At 57.0% G+C, this 15,645-nt stretch overlaps 2 long non-coding RNA genes across 2 annotated transcripts, besides 1 other annotated feature; one reads left to right on the forward strand and one right to left on the reverse strand.

Moving 5' to 3' along the window:
- Window positions 1,280–1,992: an enhancer, noted in NCBI's record as "H3K27ac-H3K4me1 hESC enhancer chr9:138234136-138234848 (GRCh37/hg19 assembly coordinates)". NCBI's record gives its function as "activates a minimal SCP1, AML or CMV promoter by ChIP-STARR-seq in primed H9 embryonic stem cells {active_cell/tissue: H9 hESC(primed)}" and the evidence as "EXISTENCE:reporter gene assay evidence [ECO:0000049][PMID:30033119]".
- On the forward strand, window positions 2,239–5,552 carry LINC02907 (long intergenic non-protein coding RNA 2907). The gene is made up of 3 exons (NR_171012.1): window positions 2,239–2,461; window positions 3,012–3,443; window positions 4,284–5,552. It is a non-coding gene; the product is annotated as a long intergenic non-protein coding RNA 2907 (long non-coding RNA).
- Window positions 5,553–9,512: 3,960 nt separating this feature from the next.
- Window positions 9,513–11,508, reverse strand: LOC124902304 (uncharacterized). The gene is made up of 2 exons (XR_007061848.1): window positions 11,313–11,508; window positions 9,513–9,906 (listed from the first exon to the last, which is right to left on the reverse strand). It is a non-coding gene; the product is annotated as an uncharacterized LOC124902304 (long non-coding RNA).
- Window positions 11,509–15,645: the final 4,137 nt, after the last annotated feature.

A 15,645-nucleotide genomic window follows, 5' to 3' on the forward strand; every position in this document is an offset into this window, starting at 1 on the left:
CATCACAGGCACGGTGCCCTGCACCTCAGGGGTGCCCTGGGCGGGCAAGGTCTTCTTCCAGCCTGACTGCCCCAAGAAAGGGATAGGGTGCTTTGCACAGACCCCAAATCCACAGTCCAAGCTGCGGTGTAGTTTTGCTGAGATTCTGGAAATTCCTTTCTATTTTGCAAAAAGAGGAGCCAAGGACCAGCACCAGAGGGGTGGCCCGGGGCCCAGGCACCCACCCAACTGAGCTGCGGCAGAGGGCAGCGGGCTCTCTGCAAACTGTAACAAGTTGGCTCTGTGGCCCTGTCTGTCAGAGGAGGAGGCTGTTCCCAGGAGACGTGGGCTCCACGGGAGACGCGCCGGCTGCGCTCAGCGGGGAGAGGTTGTCGCTCCAGTCCCTAGTGGAGGTCTGTTTGTGCAGGAAGCCGTCATCAGCAGAGAGGCTTTTATAGAAAGCCTCACCATTCCCCCTGCACCTAATTTGAGATGAAGGAACTCATTTGCTACGGAAGGCTCTAGAAAGTGGCTGCTGGCATGGTGGCAGGTGTGTGGGGATGGGAGAGGTGGCAAGAGGTCCAGGGACCCAGGCAGGATGGCCACTTATGGGTGTCCAGGCACCCACAGCTGACCCATGGGGCCCAAGCAAGAAGGACGCCAAGGCCACAGCGGGTGGAAGGGACCTGGTGGGAGACCCAGCTGAGGACAGCAGAGGCTGAGGACAGCAGAGGCTCAGCCCCACTTCCCCTGTGGTCCCTCACAAAGCCCCTCCCTCTTTCCAGACTCCTCCCCTCAGAACCTTCTCCGTCCGCCCACCGGCCAAGGCTCAGAGGGCTCTGGGGAAGGCGTGCGGGGTGGCAGGGCCCACCCAGGGTCCGGGTGCACCTGCAGGGCAGGCCCCGAGCTGCTCACCTCCCTGCTTTCCTCAGCCTCGAAGCAGCCAGGGCTCCTGGGCAGGGCGCCACAGCAGCCTCTATTTACCCCTCTGTAAAATGGGAAGAAAGTTCTCCCCAGGTGAGGCTGTCTCATGACTAAATCAGACACTCCAAGCTGATGCTCTGAAGCCACAGGTGTCCCTGCATCCCCATCACTAATACTGTCCTCTTTCCTACCATGGACAGGGGGCTCAGCGCCCAGGAAAAGAGCTCCACACTTTTCTAGCATCCCCTCGGGAGCTCTGGTTCCATAGAAGGGGGCTCCCAGTGTCCGATGGGGCTGAGCACAGCATGCAGCTGGGGCCCCCGTGTCCTAGGGATCCGAGAGCACACTGTTGGGCAGCAGCTCCTGGACGGGGCCCACCAGCCTTTGTGCAAACCAAGAAGGAGCTCGTCCCCTGGTACCAGGGCACCCAGCTGGCAAGCACAGGTGGCTGGACCCTGGCTCCCTCATTGGCACCTGCGGGGCCACATCGTGACCTTTGTGGGCCCCAGACACCATTCCCCCTGCACCTGATGGATCCATCGCTTTGCCCAGCCTTGGCTCTCGAGGTGACCTTCAAGGACTGCTGCAAGGACTGCCCCGCCAAGGAGCCTGGCACAGGCTGTTGGACACAACCCCAATTACTGACAGGTTCGCAAAGACACCCAAGCTGCAGGGCCTTGGCAGACGGGTAAGCAGCCTGATCTCGTCCAGAAATCTTGTCCACGTGCACCTCCCGGGAGCCCTCCTTCGGAGATGGCCGAGGCCTGATGCCCCAGAAGTCACTGTGTCCAGCTCCCACCTCTCCTGCCCCTCAACCCCTCAGTTCCTCCCTGGGAACCACCTGTCAGCTGCCCCAGCCTGGATTTGTGTTTTCACCCGGGAGTGACTCGGGGCCTCTGGTGGCCTGGGGAGATGGGGGAGCTTCCTGGGTCCAGGCACCAGCAGTCACCTCTGTCCCCAAGGAAGGCCCTGCCAAAGGGCCGGGCACCAGGTGCTCCACGTTTAGGCCAGGACTAGTTGATGGCTGCCCAGGCTCCCAATGACACATTCCCCTCCTCCGGGGTTGTCCCTGCTGGGCCTCTGTGCCAGCTGACAGCCAGAAGTCTGGTGATCGAGCCCGGTGGGGTCTCTGCCTGGGGAGGGATCCCTGGGTTTTGTCCCCATGCAGTGGGGGCTCAGGAAGTGCCCCCCAGCTTCCTCCTGCCTCTCAGCATTCCCAGCTGCCAGCACAGAGAGGCTGGGCTCAAGTCTTCTCCAAGGCCAGTGCCACCCTCCACCAGGTCCCACTGAGCCTCATGGGGCTGGTGGAGCCACCTGCCCACCTCAGCACTGCATCTCCAGCCAGGGCTGAGTGGCAGTGTGGGCACCGCGGCCCGGGACGACAGCCTGGGCTCAGAGTCAGGCTTGTGGCTTCGCCTCTCAGCTTGCGTCTCCTCCCCTGTGGGATGGGGGATTCCGTGGCACCCCCATGATGAACAGGATGCCATGGGCCTCAGCCCAGGGCAGACCTCAGTGTCCTTCCTGTGGCCGCTGCTGGAGGTGCGTGACCACAACACAGGTGTGTATCGATGTCACTTTGCGTCATGCCTGTGGGGAGGGCCCTCTCGCCCCATGGTCTCCATGGGGCCTCATCACACCTGGGAGGTAACTGGGGCATCTCAATTTTACAGATGAGTAAATGGAGGCTCAGAGCAGTTACAGGCTGAGGCTGAGACCTGGGCAGGTCTTTGTCATCTTGGAGTCCAGCACATACACAGGGCTAGCCTCCAATGGGCTAAAGGGAGCTGCCTCCTATACCTCCCTGTCCCCAGACACACACACAGAACCCCCACATATGCACAAGAGCACACGGCCACAGGAGTGTGTGCAGGTGTGTGCATGCATGCATGCGCATGCACACACATCCTTGCACAGAATGCACAAGGCACACACAGGCACAGGCGTGTGCACACACGTGTACACACACACATGCCTGCATGCATACCTCCCGGCTCCACAGAGGGGAGGGGGCATTTCCCAGGCAGGCTATGCTTCTCCAGCAGTGAGCGAACAAAATCTGTGCTCTGGGTGCCCAGAGCCCGGCAATGAGGGGATCTCACACCCTCCAGGGAGGGGACTCGTCCCCGCCACTGTGCTGACGCCTGGGTCTCCAGAGACCCTCCTGGAACTCCGCCAGGCCTTCCTGGGTTCCAGACAGGCCCGCCACGGGCATGACGCAGCGCCATCTAGCGGACAGCAGGGCTGCAGCGTGGACAGAACGGCCGGACGCCCAGTCCTGGGCTGGCGGCTGAGGAACAGCCTCACAGGGCAAGAGGGCAGGCAACACCTGCATCTTTCCGGCATAAGAACCTCAAGAAAAGCAAAGGAATATAAGCCTGTGTTCTTTGGAGCCACCGAAATCTCTGTTCTCATGGCAGTCGCTGAAAGTTTAAGGGAGCCGCCACCGCCCCAATGGGGTTGGTTTCTTTCTTCCCTGTTTTTAAAGATCTTTTAAAATGTCTAGAGAGACCCTGGGATCCAGTGCTGGACGGATGATGCAGGTTTGTGTGCATTTGGGTTCTTGCCCCACCCTCAGCCTCAGCCACAGCCACAGCATGGCTCCCTGGTGGTCTCGGGAGCAGGTGAACAGGGAGGTCCTGCTGTCGGTGCAGACCCCGCTCTCACGTCAGCCACTTTGCTGGGTAGGAATGAACTGAGACACTGCAGGGCACCCGCTAAGCCCACATCAAGCTCTAATTCCACAGTTATTTTGCAAAGAGGATAATGTTCCCCTGAGGACTCGCTGGATCATCTGCTCTCGGCCAGGGTGGCTGCAGGGCTGTGGGCAGCTGGTGCCTCTAGACAAGACATCTTCACCCCAAAACCCCAGGCCTGAAGTCCCAGGACCCCTTTCTCACCACAGTGACCACCAGGTGGCAGGTCAGGTGCAGAGGGGCCCTCTGCACCCCCAACTCTCAGGGGGATGGGACACCCACCACCCCTCAGGGCCTTCATCCCTCCTGTAAGTAGAGGCTTGCCTTTTGGATACCATGGCAGGGATCTCACATTCATGCCACACAGCAATTCGTGGGGACCTCAGAGATACGCGGGGAGGGCAAACAAGGCCCGCATCTGGAGTACAGCAGCGGGCTTGGCTGGAAGGATGTAAAGGGCACAGGCCGTCTGTCTCTACCCACAGCCCCTAGAGCCTGCAGCGTCGTGCTGCTGGTGAGAAAGACGGCGGCACCATCACATGCGAGAGACAGCTGTCTGTCGAGAGCCTGCTTGGGCTCCCAGGCTCCCTCATCGCCTGACACCCCCACGTGGGGAGGGGGCGATGACCTTTCACGTAGAGGAAGTTGAAAGCTGCTTTTTTCTTTTTGAATCTCATCTCCACTCAGGGCCACACAGAGAGGCTATTGTGTGTCACTTGCTGGGTTAGGAACAGACGGATCAGGGCTTCTATGCTGCGTCTGCCTGGTCCTGGGAGAGAGAAACTCACACAACCATCTGCCTGGAAGACCTGGGCTTCTCAGGCTAGAGGGTCTGCACATGTAGGTGTGTGTGCATGCATACATATGCCTGCGTGTGGATGTCTGTGCTTCACACAAACAAGTGTACTTGTGGGCATATGTGTGTGTGTGCCTGCATGTGCAGCTCTGGGTATGTGTGTGTGCGCATGCCCCTGAGTCTCTCTGCATGTGATGCATTTGTGCATGTGTGTGCCTGTGTGCCCGGGTCTGTGTCTATATATATGCATGCATGGATATGCATACGTATGTGCATTTCTGCACATGTGTGCGTATGCCTGTATGTGCCTGGCTATGTGCACACACATGTGAATGTCTGAGCAGCTCCAGAGGGAGGGCCACCACCCTGCATGGTGGACATTAGTTTGAGCCTGTGAGGACCAGTGTCCCCCAAAGCCCCTCAACTACAGCCCAGCCCAACCCAACCCGGAGCAGATCACAGGCCCCAGAGACATCTCCAACCCTCACACATGGTTCCCAAACCCGGGCTATCCTTCACTCTGCAGGGGCGGGCCAGCCCTGCCCACTGCCAGGGACCCGCTCCAAGGCGCCTGCAGGAGGGCTGTGGGCGACAGTGTGGGCGCCCACCAGCAGGAGGGCCTGTCATGGTCTGTGCACGAAGCTGGTGCGCTGTCTTCTCCAGGAACTCGCACCTTCGCTCCCCCTCCCCTGCCAGCCAACACTTTCAGGTTTCTGCCATAAAAGAGAAAAAAATCTCCCTCCCTCTCTACCCGCTCCGCGCCTGCTCCTTCTCCACTTTTTGCAGATCAAACAGCATGCATGGAGTCGAGCCTGCTGGCTCTGTTCCGAGCTGCACTTTGGGCATCCGTGGGCTGCCTTGCTCCTTGTGGGGTGGCTTCAAGAGCAGGTCCCAGGTGTGCCTGCAGCAGTGCCGACACCCCTGAGAACACAGCGCACCCCAGCTTTCGGCGCCAACCACACAGCCAGCAACTGGGCTTGGAAGCTTCCCTGAGGTCGACGCTGCCTGGAAATGGACTTTGCTGCCTGCATTCAGGCCAGGGGCCATGTTTGCTCCCCCATTACAAGTTGGCCTCATATTAACATGTCTGAGGACTAAGGCTGGTATTCTAGAACACGCCTTTCACTGATTGTGTTAAATAAAAGAGAAAGATGAAAAAACTCAGGAGAATTGGCGGTACCCGCTGTCCCCGTTTCTCCCCTCCCACCAGCTCCACGGCCCACTCCAATCTGGCGCCCAGGCCCGGAGCGCCTCCACCCCCAGCAGCTCCTCCTGGGCCAGGGACCAGTCTCGTCCCACGCCTCTGCAGCCCTGGGGTCACCACTGGCCACTCCCTTCAAGAAGCACACTCAGGTCTGGGCTTGGATGATGCCCCTGGTGGCCCTGGGGCCTCCCTGGCACCTCCTCCTCTGGCCTCACCCTCAGGCCAACCTGTCACACCCGGCTTCAGCTCCCACCTGCCCGAGGAGAATGCTCTCAGGCCGCCCTGCAGGCTCTGGGCCGGGGCTCTGCCTCCTCCTCCCAAAGACCCAGCGAGTCCAGACTTCACCCTCCTCCAGCTGCCATCCAGCCCCCCGGCACCCCTAGGCCCAGCTGCCCCCTCCCATCCCACCTGCTCCAATGCACCCTCCACACAGAGAGAATGTGTCACCATACATGCTTCATGGTGCCACTGTCCTGCTGGAAGTCGTCGGAGGCTGGCACTCTTCTCAGGATGTGCTGTCCTCTGCCAACCCCACCGGTCTTGCCCCCAGGTCCTGGCCTCAGCCCCTTGGGTCCTTTATTCCATGTTTACTGTACCCACTCCCACAGTCAGACACGGCTTCCGTGTTCCCTGTGCCCAGAACTCCTCCCCCAGGGGGTCAGCCCATCCCCAAGATCTCAGCCACAGTCACTTCCCCCGGGTGGGGCTCCTGACCCTGGAATCAGTCAGATGCTCCGGGACTCGCAGTTTGGGGAGTAGGGTGGTAATGCCCGTCTCCTGGTGGGCTGCCCGGTGAGCGCACTGTTGTGTCCCTGCCCCAGCACCCGGCAAGCACACCCTGGCACTCTGCAGACCCTGTCACTCAGTGAAGGAACACACCCCTCTGTGGGCCAGACCCGCCCACCAAGGTGCACGGTTCTCCTATCTCACTGTTCAGTGAGAAATGGCTGGGAGAGTATCCGGAGAGTATTCAGAGCGCAGGACAGGACAGCAGAGCACGACAGGGGTCCATGAGTACACGGCTGCTTCCAGGCCGAGTTCCTCAAGCCAGCTCTGAAGAGTTGTGACTCAGGAAGGCATCAGGCGCTTGCTCACTGCCAGGCAATGCCTCCCGGCTCCTGAAGGCCTCCTTGATTCCTTACGAGAAAGAGAGGCAGGGAAGGGGGCTAGCCTTCGGCCTGGCTTCTGCTCTGCTGGGAATGCTTTCTCCTGACGTCTTCTTGCTGTTCGAGTGTCAACCCAAACGTCACCCCTTGACAAAGACACCTGAGCCCCTGCACTTGGAAGTAGCAGCCCCCAGCCAGCAGACGGGACTCGTACACATCACCGTGTCTTACACTCTTGCCTGTCACCGCGTCCCCTTATCTTCCCCTTTAGTGTATTTACTTCCCGCCACCCTTCCCTCCGCACTAGAATGTCTGCTCCATGTAGGCAAGTAGTTTGGGTCCTGCACCAGATAGACACGCAATACATGTTTGTTGAATGACTAAAGGAAAGACAATGGTCTTTGGAGATCCTCCTTTCATGGAGGCCCTGGGCTTGGTGAGGTTAAGATCGGGTAGAATGAGGTGAGCTTCTCAAATCTCTGTGCCCCCCCCAAGCTGAGCGAGCGTCCGGCAAGGACAGGACCTGGGTTCCAGTGTGTGAGCCCCGCCCCGGTTGTCATGGGATCCTAGCGCCCTGGCCCCGGCTGGTCCTCACCAGCCCCCAGCCCAGGCCACCAGCGAGCGTCTCACGGTGGGACAGCTCCATCCTAGAGACTCTCCCGGGAGGCCTGACCCAGGAAACACACTCCAGGAGCTGCTGGTGGTGGCACAAAGCTGGGGCACGCTCAGTTTTCTCACCACCAGCCCCTGAGATGAAAAGCACAGGTGGGGAAACTGAAACCCGGCTCCCAGTCAACAAGGTGCAGGGTGCTGGTGTCTGGGCCACGTTCCCTTTAGATACACGGAGAAGCCCCTCGCTCCTCTCGGGAGGGCCTGGACGCCAGGTGGCATTTCTGCTGCTCTCCATCTGCAGCTCCTCCCACCTCCCGCCCCCCCCTCCCTGGCAGGACTCAATCTAGCAAGTTGTTCCACCTTCCCAGGGCCACCCACCCATGCCAACGCCACAGATTCCGATCGAGTCTCTGATTCACTACAGCCCAAGGATTTGCCAACAAAGTCAGAAATGAGCAGGTGGGGTGGAACAAGGTCAGAAATGGGCAGGTGGGGCGGGTGGAGATGCCAGGGACCTGCAAAGAGGGTGCTGGGCCACAGCGGGTGGCACACACTGACTCCCACCCCACACTGCACCCCGGTTCTAGACAGAGACGAAGGCAGCTGCAGCTAAAGGCATGTGCAGAGATCGGTGTGAGGGTGAGACGGAGGAAAATCGAGCTCAGGAAGCCTCCCTGTGCTCCAGCCCAGGCTCAGGCCTCATCTGCCAGCACACTCCCTGCCCTGGCTCAGGCCTAACCCTTACTGGACCCACTTCTCATATGCAAATCCCGGGGGTCTCTGGAGGAGCCCAAGGCCCAGGCCCGAGAATATCAGGATCTGGTGCTTCGGCACAGGTGCCCCACCTCGGGGGTGCTGGGACTCCAGGATCCCCTGTACTGTGGTTTGCAAAGTGCTTTTCCGGGTGGGCTCCCACTCAACCTGAAAAACCCCCTGGGAGGGTAGAGAGTCCCAGCCCCATTTTAAAGAAAAGAAACCTCAAGGAAGTCAGACTCAGCTGCGGTCTCATGAGGAAGCTGGGGTCACCGGGCCGCTGACACCCACGTTGGCCTTTCCAGGGCTCCCAGATGCCGGGCTGTGGCTCTCCGGGCTGCGGCTGCTGCTGTTCTCTGCACAAGGAAGGGGTGTGAGGGGCAGCCCGCCCTTCCCAGCTCATCAGCTCAGGGTGTGGGCAGATGTTCCTCCAGCTGTAGGCATCAGCTGCGTGGAACCGTGGGGCACTGGAACTGTGCCTTTGCTGAACAGATTTGCCCGGAGATGTCTGTGAAACTGTAAGAGTTCCCGTTAAACCTACCACGCCATAAGCAATAGTACGAGTTCATAAAAGAATGAATATGGGCCAGGCTCGGGGCTGATCAGGGCTCAGCCAAGAGCCAGGCTCAGCACTTACTGTGTGACTGGATCTGAGCTCGGTCTGGGCCTGGGACCAGGGCTCAGCCTGGAGTGGGCAGGGGCTCAGTCTGGACTTGGGGTACAAAGCAAGAGCTCCCCATCCTGGAAGTAGAGCCTCCTCCCTGCACCAGCCAGAACCCACGTGACCCTCTGTTGTGCTGGGACCTGCACAGTATTTCCAGCAGCTGCCCGACACGATCCCCCAAAAAGACATAAAGCAGAAACTGACTTTGAAATGGCCCTTTCTCCGCCGTATCTTTGGACATAAATTTAAATAAAATGGCAATTTAAATGCCTGCGACACCAACAAGGCAGCATGGGCTGTCTCTGCGGGCTGCGTGGGGAGACAGACTGCGGCCCTCAACCCATCATCCTGTGCCATGCGGGCAAGGGTCGGCGCTGGGGCAGCGGGGAGGGCAACCAGCCCTTGGCAAGCGGAAAAGACACCCCCGGGGTCTCTGCCTCTCCCTGCTGAACCCTCTGCTGGCTCGGTTCCCAGGAGGCCCGGAGGAGCACACTCTCACCTTAGGCAAAGTGCTGCTGCTGACATTAAATGGGGGAGAAGAGACAGCTCTTCTTTGAGAAGAAATCTCATTGGTAAATGTGGAAGGAATGAGGGAAACAGGGTGTCGCGGTGAGAGGACCACAGACATAAGCATGGCCACCGAGACCCACCGACGGACACACGAATCAATAAACAAACTTGAGAGAGTGTCTCGGTGAGAAGACCACAGTCATAAGCGTTGCCACCGAGACCCACCGACGGACACACAAATCAATAAACAAACTTGAGGGGACGACAGGCCTGCGTTGGCTTCGAGTGTCTCCCTTGAGGTATTTATTAATTTCAAAGAGAAAAATGGTGACTTCCCAGTGGAGAAACCCAGCAGGCACCAGTGTCCTCCATTGTCGGGGTCAGCCTCCTCAAAGACTTATCCATGTCACGCTTCCACGATGGAATGCACACAGAAGGGCCCTTCCCTTCTTCAAAATTCCTGCCAAAAGTGCAGAGCCTCCATCTTATCATTAAATACGGTCTCAGGAGCCCAAATGGAGGGAGAGTTCACAGAGCCACTGGCCCGTGCTGACCCAAAGGAAGAGACAAGGCAAGAATGGAGAGATGTCATAGGTTAGAGGCTGGGGATGCCTGATGACAAAATGCAGCATGGCATCTGGAGGTGGAGGACAGTGGGTCAGATCCTAAAACAGGAAAAGAACATTTGTTTAAAAAAAAGAAAAAAAACTGGCAAAATCCACATGGGGTCTGTAGCTCAGCTAACAGTATCACCCAGCGTTAATGTCTTGGCACTTGTATTATAGTTATGCAGGATATTCACGTCAGGAAAAGCTGAGTGCAGGGTACACGGGACATGTCTGTCCTCTTTTACAACTTTTATTTCTATTTTGAAATTATTTCAGGTTAAAAGCATCTCTTTCGCCATATTTCAGAGCTGGGACTCCAGCTGCCCTCACAGAAGCTCAGCTCTGCCACACCTGCTCTCCTCTGCTTCCTGACCCGCAAGCCCCCGGCACTCCCCAGGCACAGCCGGGTGGCCTTCTCCTTCCTAAAGCAGCAACTTTCGATGTTTTTCCAAGTGCAGGCAGCTCTTTCCTCGAGAGGAACTCTCGCAGCAGCTGGCAAAGAGAAACCCTTTCTCACTTAGTCCTGGCCCCACACAGGCTGCCCACAATGAGACCCCAGGAACAGCTGGACTCTCAGCTCCTGGACCAGCCTTCAGCAAGAGCAGGTGCCCACCCCCACCGACTGTGAGCCATGTCTCACCCTCCCCAGCCTTCCACACCCCTTGCCACGTGAGTATCCTCGGAGGGGTTGGAGGGATGGAGCCCTGTTCCCATTCCAGAGGGAGGCCACGCAGGGAGGCAGTGGGATAAAAGCCCATGGGTGAGCCCACCAGCCCCACTGTGTAGGGTAAGCAAGAGGCCTCCTCAGGAGGAGCCAGGGAAGCCAGCAGGTCTGGGGAAATGGGGCTTTTTGAAATGGGAACATGAAGTTAGAGAGGTCCTGGCAAGATGGTAGTCTTATTTAATGATTCCGTTTGCAAGCATTGGAGACACTCACATCCTTGGGCAATAGGAGTGTCTTACAAAGATAGGGAAGGGGCCCTGGGGCCCAGGACAGCTGCCAGGAGTGGCCTCTCAAGGAGCTGCTGTCCCAGATGCAGGTGAGACCCAGCAGCCGGCTACCACAGATGCTCCCTCCCCGACTGATGTGGCCCCTGCTGCAGCCACCCCCCTGAATATCTGCAGCTTCTGCCCCCACCACATTCTTGGTTCTGTATACGTGCCCCCATACATTGTCTACGGTGGGCAGGTTAGCCCTGCCAGGCAGTGCTGTAGCACAAGGCCAACTGATAGCCATCGCAGAGTCTGCGGGTGGCTGCCTGGGGCTCAGATGCTCACCTCTGGCCAGGATGGTAAGTCATGTGATACAGAATATGCGTAAACACCTTTATACAAAAAATAGAAATAAAAAATTGCCCACCCAAATGATTCTACTATCTCCCATCTCCCCTGATCCCTAGCCCCATGCCAAGTTTCTCTTGAGAAATTCCTCTAAAGAATTTCCCAATAGTTTCTCAGCCTACCTTTGGGGAATTCAGTCAAGGGAGGACGTCAACAAAGCCAGAAAAGAAAAATCTGCAACTCTACCCATGGGCCACATGCCACTGTGCTCTGTCCAAAAGGGCCCTCGCAGCCTCCAGGAAACAAAGAAATGGTCAGAGCTGTGAGCCTTCTACCCCCATTTGACCCCACACCCCTGTCCTCCAAGAACTGAACCCCTTTAACAAGCAATCACAGGGCCTGAGTCATTTCTACCCAATCCAGGAAGCAGCAGGAGGTATCTGTGAAACACACTGTATGACTTCACACTGTGAAATAGATTAATAAACCATTATGATAAGCAAGCTGATTATTAGCATGAGAACGAGGCTCCAGAGCTAACTGAAGCCATCCAGCAAAATGTCGGCGTCTTCTTCGGGTATGAAATATTAATTGCACCCAAGCTTGGGCTGGAAGGTAGGGGTCGGTTTGTACCTTTTCTTCTCCAGACAAACGTCAGATGGGGCCCTTCTCCTGGGACAAGGCCAGGGCCACCGCTGGGAGCCACCCCACTCCTGAAGGCAGTGGTCTTCTCCAGAGGAGGCTGGCGTTTGGTTACATATGTGACCCTTTTCTCAGTCCACTTCAAGAGAATGGAGAAATTCCTGGAGTGTCGGGGAGCTCAGCCTCTATTCTTATGGGGTCTTATCCTGGGGAGGAGGTTTAGGGCAGCCTTTTCTATTGAATTTTGCTGTGTTCCTTTGAGGCACTCATCCCAGGGGCTTTGAACCAGGCTGGAGGTGACTTGCACATTCTGCAGACCAGAGCAATGCCATTCCAGACCCCAAAAGGGGCCCTCAACTTCCTGACCCTTCTTGCTGTTCCTCCTGCAGCCCAAGGGGTCCTTCAGCCAGCTCCAGTTGTGGTGGGAGAGCTGCAGACTGCTCACGGCCTGCCCGGCCCCTGTGTCGACGGCCCCTCCCTAACCATCCGGGCATTCTTTGGAGGCCAGGCCCCTGGTGCTCTCAGGGTAAGGACAACTCCAGTGAGGTGAGAGTTCTGGGTGGGAATGCACTTCCCCAGACCTGTCCTTCCTCAAACCCGCTTCCTGCTGGGAAGGGGATAGCCCAACTGTGCAAGGGAAGACAGACGGGGCCAGGGAAGGGGATGGGTGTGAGCTTCGACTCGGCACTGGCAGCCGGAGCTGTAATTTCTAGGCTTCGTATTTATGACTTCAGCAGAGGCTGGCCTGGAGTGGTGAATCCCAGAGCTGCAACCCACAGGCAAAGCAAAAGTAGCTGGATTGCGGGTCTGGCCTTGGCAGGCCAGAGTTCCCACGCGACAGGAAGGCTGGACACAGGCCTTGCCCAACCCAGAAAGTACTGGATAGAGGGTGGAACCCCAGGGAGCAGTGAGCAGGAGGGAGGTTACTGCAGGCTTAGAGGAGGCGGTCGCAGCTCCCCTAAACCTGCGGGCACAAAGGTGACCCAAAGGAGAGGGGGCAGGTTCTGAGTCCTCCGCCATGTGGTAAATCCTAACGGCCTCTTTCTGCATTGTCGTAGCAACCACACTTTTTCAGAAGTGGCCAGCCCTCTGCTGTGTGTTAGATTTCAGGAGATATATATACCAATTTTCCAACATCAACTAAAATAAAAAAAAAAAAATCCGCTTTATACTATGGCATTTTTAAATTAAGGTGAATTAAAATTCTTCTGCTTTGAAGATTGTTTTAAGACTGCTGTGACAACCTGGAGATCATCACCAGCCTCCTGGGGTCCCATCTGACCCCAGCTGTGATGCCGTCTGCACGGCACCCTCCATCATCCCTAACGCAGACACCCCCAACTGAGCCTACAGACGAGGACACGCCTGACGCCGGCCCCAGGAGAACATACTGACCTAAAAGAGGAGGCAGAAGTGGACGCTCTCGTCTCCTGCTGTGCAGAAATGAAGGCAGCCTTTCAGCAGCCCTGCGTGGTAGCGTTCATTAAACCCCTTAAAAATACACGTGCCATCTCCACATGATGGGATTTTACCAGGCAGTAGCAGGGAACGATGTTCCAACATGTGCCTCCACGTGGGCAAACCTCAGCACAGTATGCTCAGGGGAAGGAGCCCCGCACAAAAGGCGGGTGTAGCAGGACTTCCCAAGTGCAAAGCGCTCAGAATAGGTAAACCCGCAGGTGAGAGCAGATGAGTGGCCACCAGGGCTTGGGGAGTGGGAGGCAATGAGTGCCCAGAGGTACCAGGTCTAGAAAATGTTCTAAAATTGATTGTGGTGGTAGATGTAGAACACTGAATATACTAGAAACCACTGAGCTGGCATCTACTAAGTTATCTCAATGTATTGGAAGAAGGGTGGGTGGGGAATATACTGGGATAATTGTATGGGGTGTGAATTACATTTCCATAAAACTAGTTTTTTAAAAAAACACTACAAAGGCCGGGCACCGTGGCTCACACCTGTAATCCTAGCACTTTGGGAGGCCGAGGCAGGTAGATCACCTGAGGTCAGGAGTTTGAGACCAGCCTGGCCAATATGGTAAAACGCTGTCTCCACTAATAATATAAAAATTATCCGGGCACGGGTAATCCCAGCTACTTGGAAGACTGAGGCAGGAGAACTGCTTGAACCCAGGAGGTGGAGGTTGCAGTAAGCCGAGATCTTGACACTGCACTCCAGCCTGGGCGACAGAGCAAGACTCTGTCTCAAAACAAACAAACAAACAAAACCTATAAAAATATATTTATTATGGAAAAATATATATACATACATAACCTCTGATGCAGAAATCCTACTTCTAGAAGTGTATCCTCGGGAAATAATGAAGGGTGTGCACACGTGTTTGAATACACTGGGAAGTAGACGTAAATGCCGGTGTGTGTGCTCAGTCCAGCGCCACACAGGCAGCGGCTCACACCATGGGTAGAAACGCAGTTATTGACACAACTCTGTGTCCACAGTAAACTGTTGAGTGAAATTAACAGGTTACAAACAGCAAATGTGGATACTACAAAATGCTACACCTTACATACATGGAGGAATGATCCATAAATTATAAATGGGGGTTTACTTCCAGGTAGTGAGATGGGATTTTTCTCTCTTTTTTTCAGTTTTCAGGAATGTCTCATTTTTCTATGTGGCCAGTATTATTTGTGCAATAAACAGATACAATTTATTTCTTGGAGAGGAGGGAGGGAGAACAAATCAGGAGCCCAAATTGGTTTTGCTTTGAGCAAACTGAGAGTCAGCAGGCCAGGTAGAGGACAGCCCGTGCCCAGCATCCCCAGCGCAGAGCAGACTTGCCTCAGGGGCTCCGTCGTATGTAAAGCTTAAATGACAAATCCTTCCCAGAATCCCCGGCTCCCAAGGCTGAGCCCCAGAGGGCCCCGAAGCTGGCGGAAGAGGCCGGTGCCATGCGGGGCCACATCTGGTGTCGGTTCCGCAGCCTCCCAGGGCCCCAAGACCAGGAGGTGGGCGCTGGGCCAGCTCCATTCACCTGCACATTATTTCCTGCTAATCAGCATCACTCTGCCCCGAGGGGTGCCCACCTGGGGCCCACCAGCTGCGCAGAGGAGCCACTCCCTGTTCCCAGCATGCTTGGCTGGGTTTGGGAAGACTGGGCATAAGCGGAGCTGACAGCCCCATCTGTTTCCTCCCGAGGCGCAGGAGCGCTCTGAGCAGGCCTGGTACCTATGAACACTCGGGCCCAGGCTGAGCTGGGGAGCCTCCCCCTCCCCAGCCGGAGCCCCCGGCCCACCCCCTCGCTGCTCCTGCCAAGGTGCAGGAGACCGACTGAGAGTCAGGCCCTGCCACCCAGACACCAGCCTCGGGGGCTGGACACTCTATCGGGATGGACGCTCAGACCCTTGCAAGGCAGCACTGACGGGAGCCACGGCGGAGCAATGGCCTCGATAGTGACCGGGCACTGACGGGAGCCACGGCGGAGCAACGGCCTCGATAGTGACCTGGCACTGACGGGAGCCACGGCGGAGCAACGGCCTCGATAGTGACCGGGCACGAGGTGTTTTCACAGATTCCTTTCGTTTCAACCACCAGCAGTCACATGAGCTGGGGGCTCCTGGGTGCCCCCTCTGTGGGTGAGGAAACTGAAGCTCGGCAAGATTGTCTCTCAGTTACTAATCTGCAGAGCTGGGGCCCAGCCTCAAGGCAACGTGAATCTGGAAATTGGGCTCCTAGGCTCCCTGCCAAGGGTCTTGAACGCCAGGGGAGAGCATGTCTGCATGACTTCCCACCGTGGGCTTCCAGGCTGGGACGGGGCAGTGGCACTCCTTCCCAGCAGCGGGGTGGAGGGAAGAAGCCCCGTGGGAAAGGTCCCACAGAGCAGACACGCGAGCCCAGGTGTGTCAGGAGGC

Source organism: Homo sapiens, chromosome 9 (assembly GCF_000001405.40).
Source record: "Homo sapiens chromosome 9, GRCh38.p14 Primary Assembly".
Taxonomy (NCBI): Eukaryota; Metazoa; Chordata; class Mammalia; order Primates; family Hominidae; genus Homo; species Homo sapiens.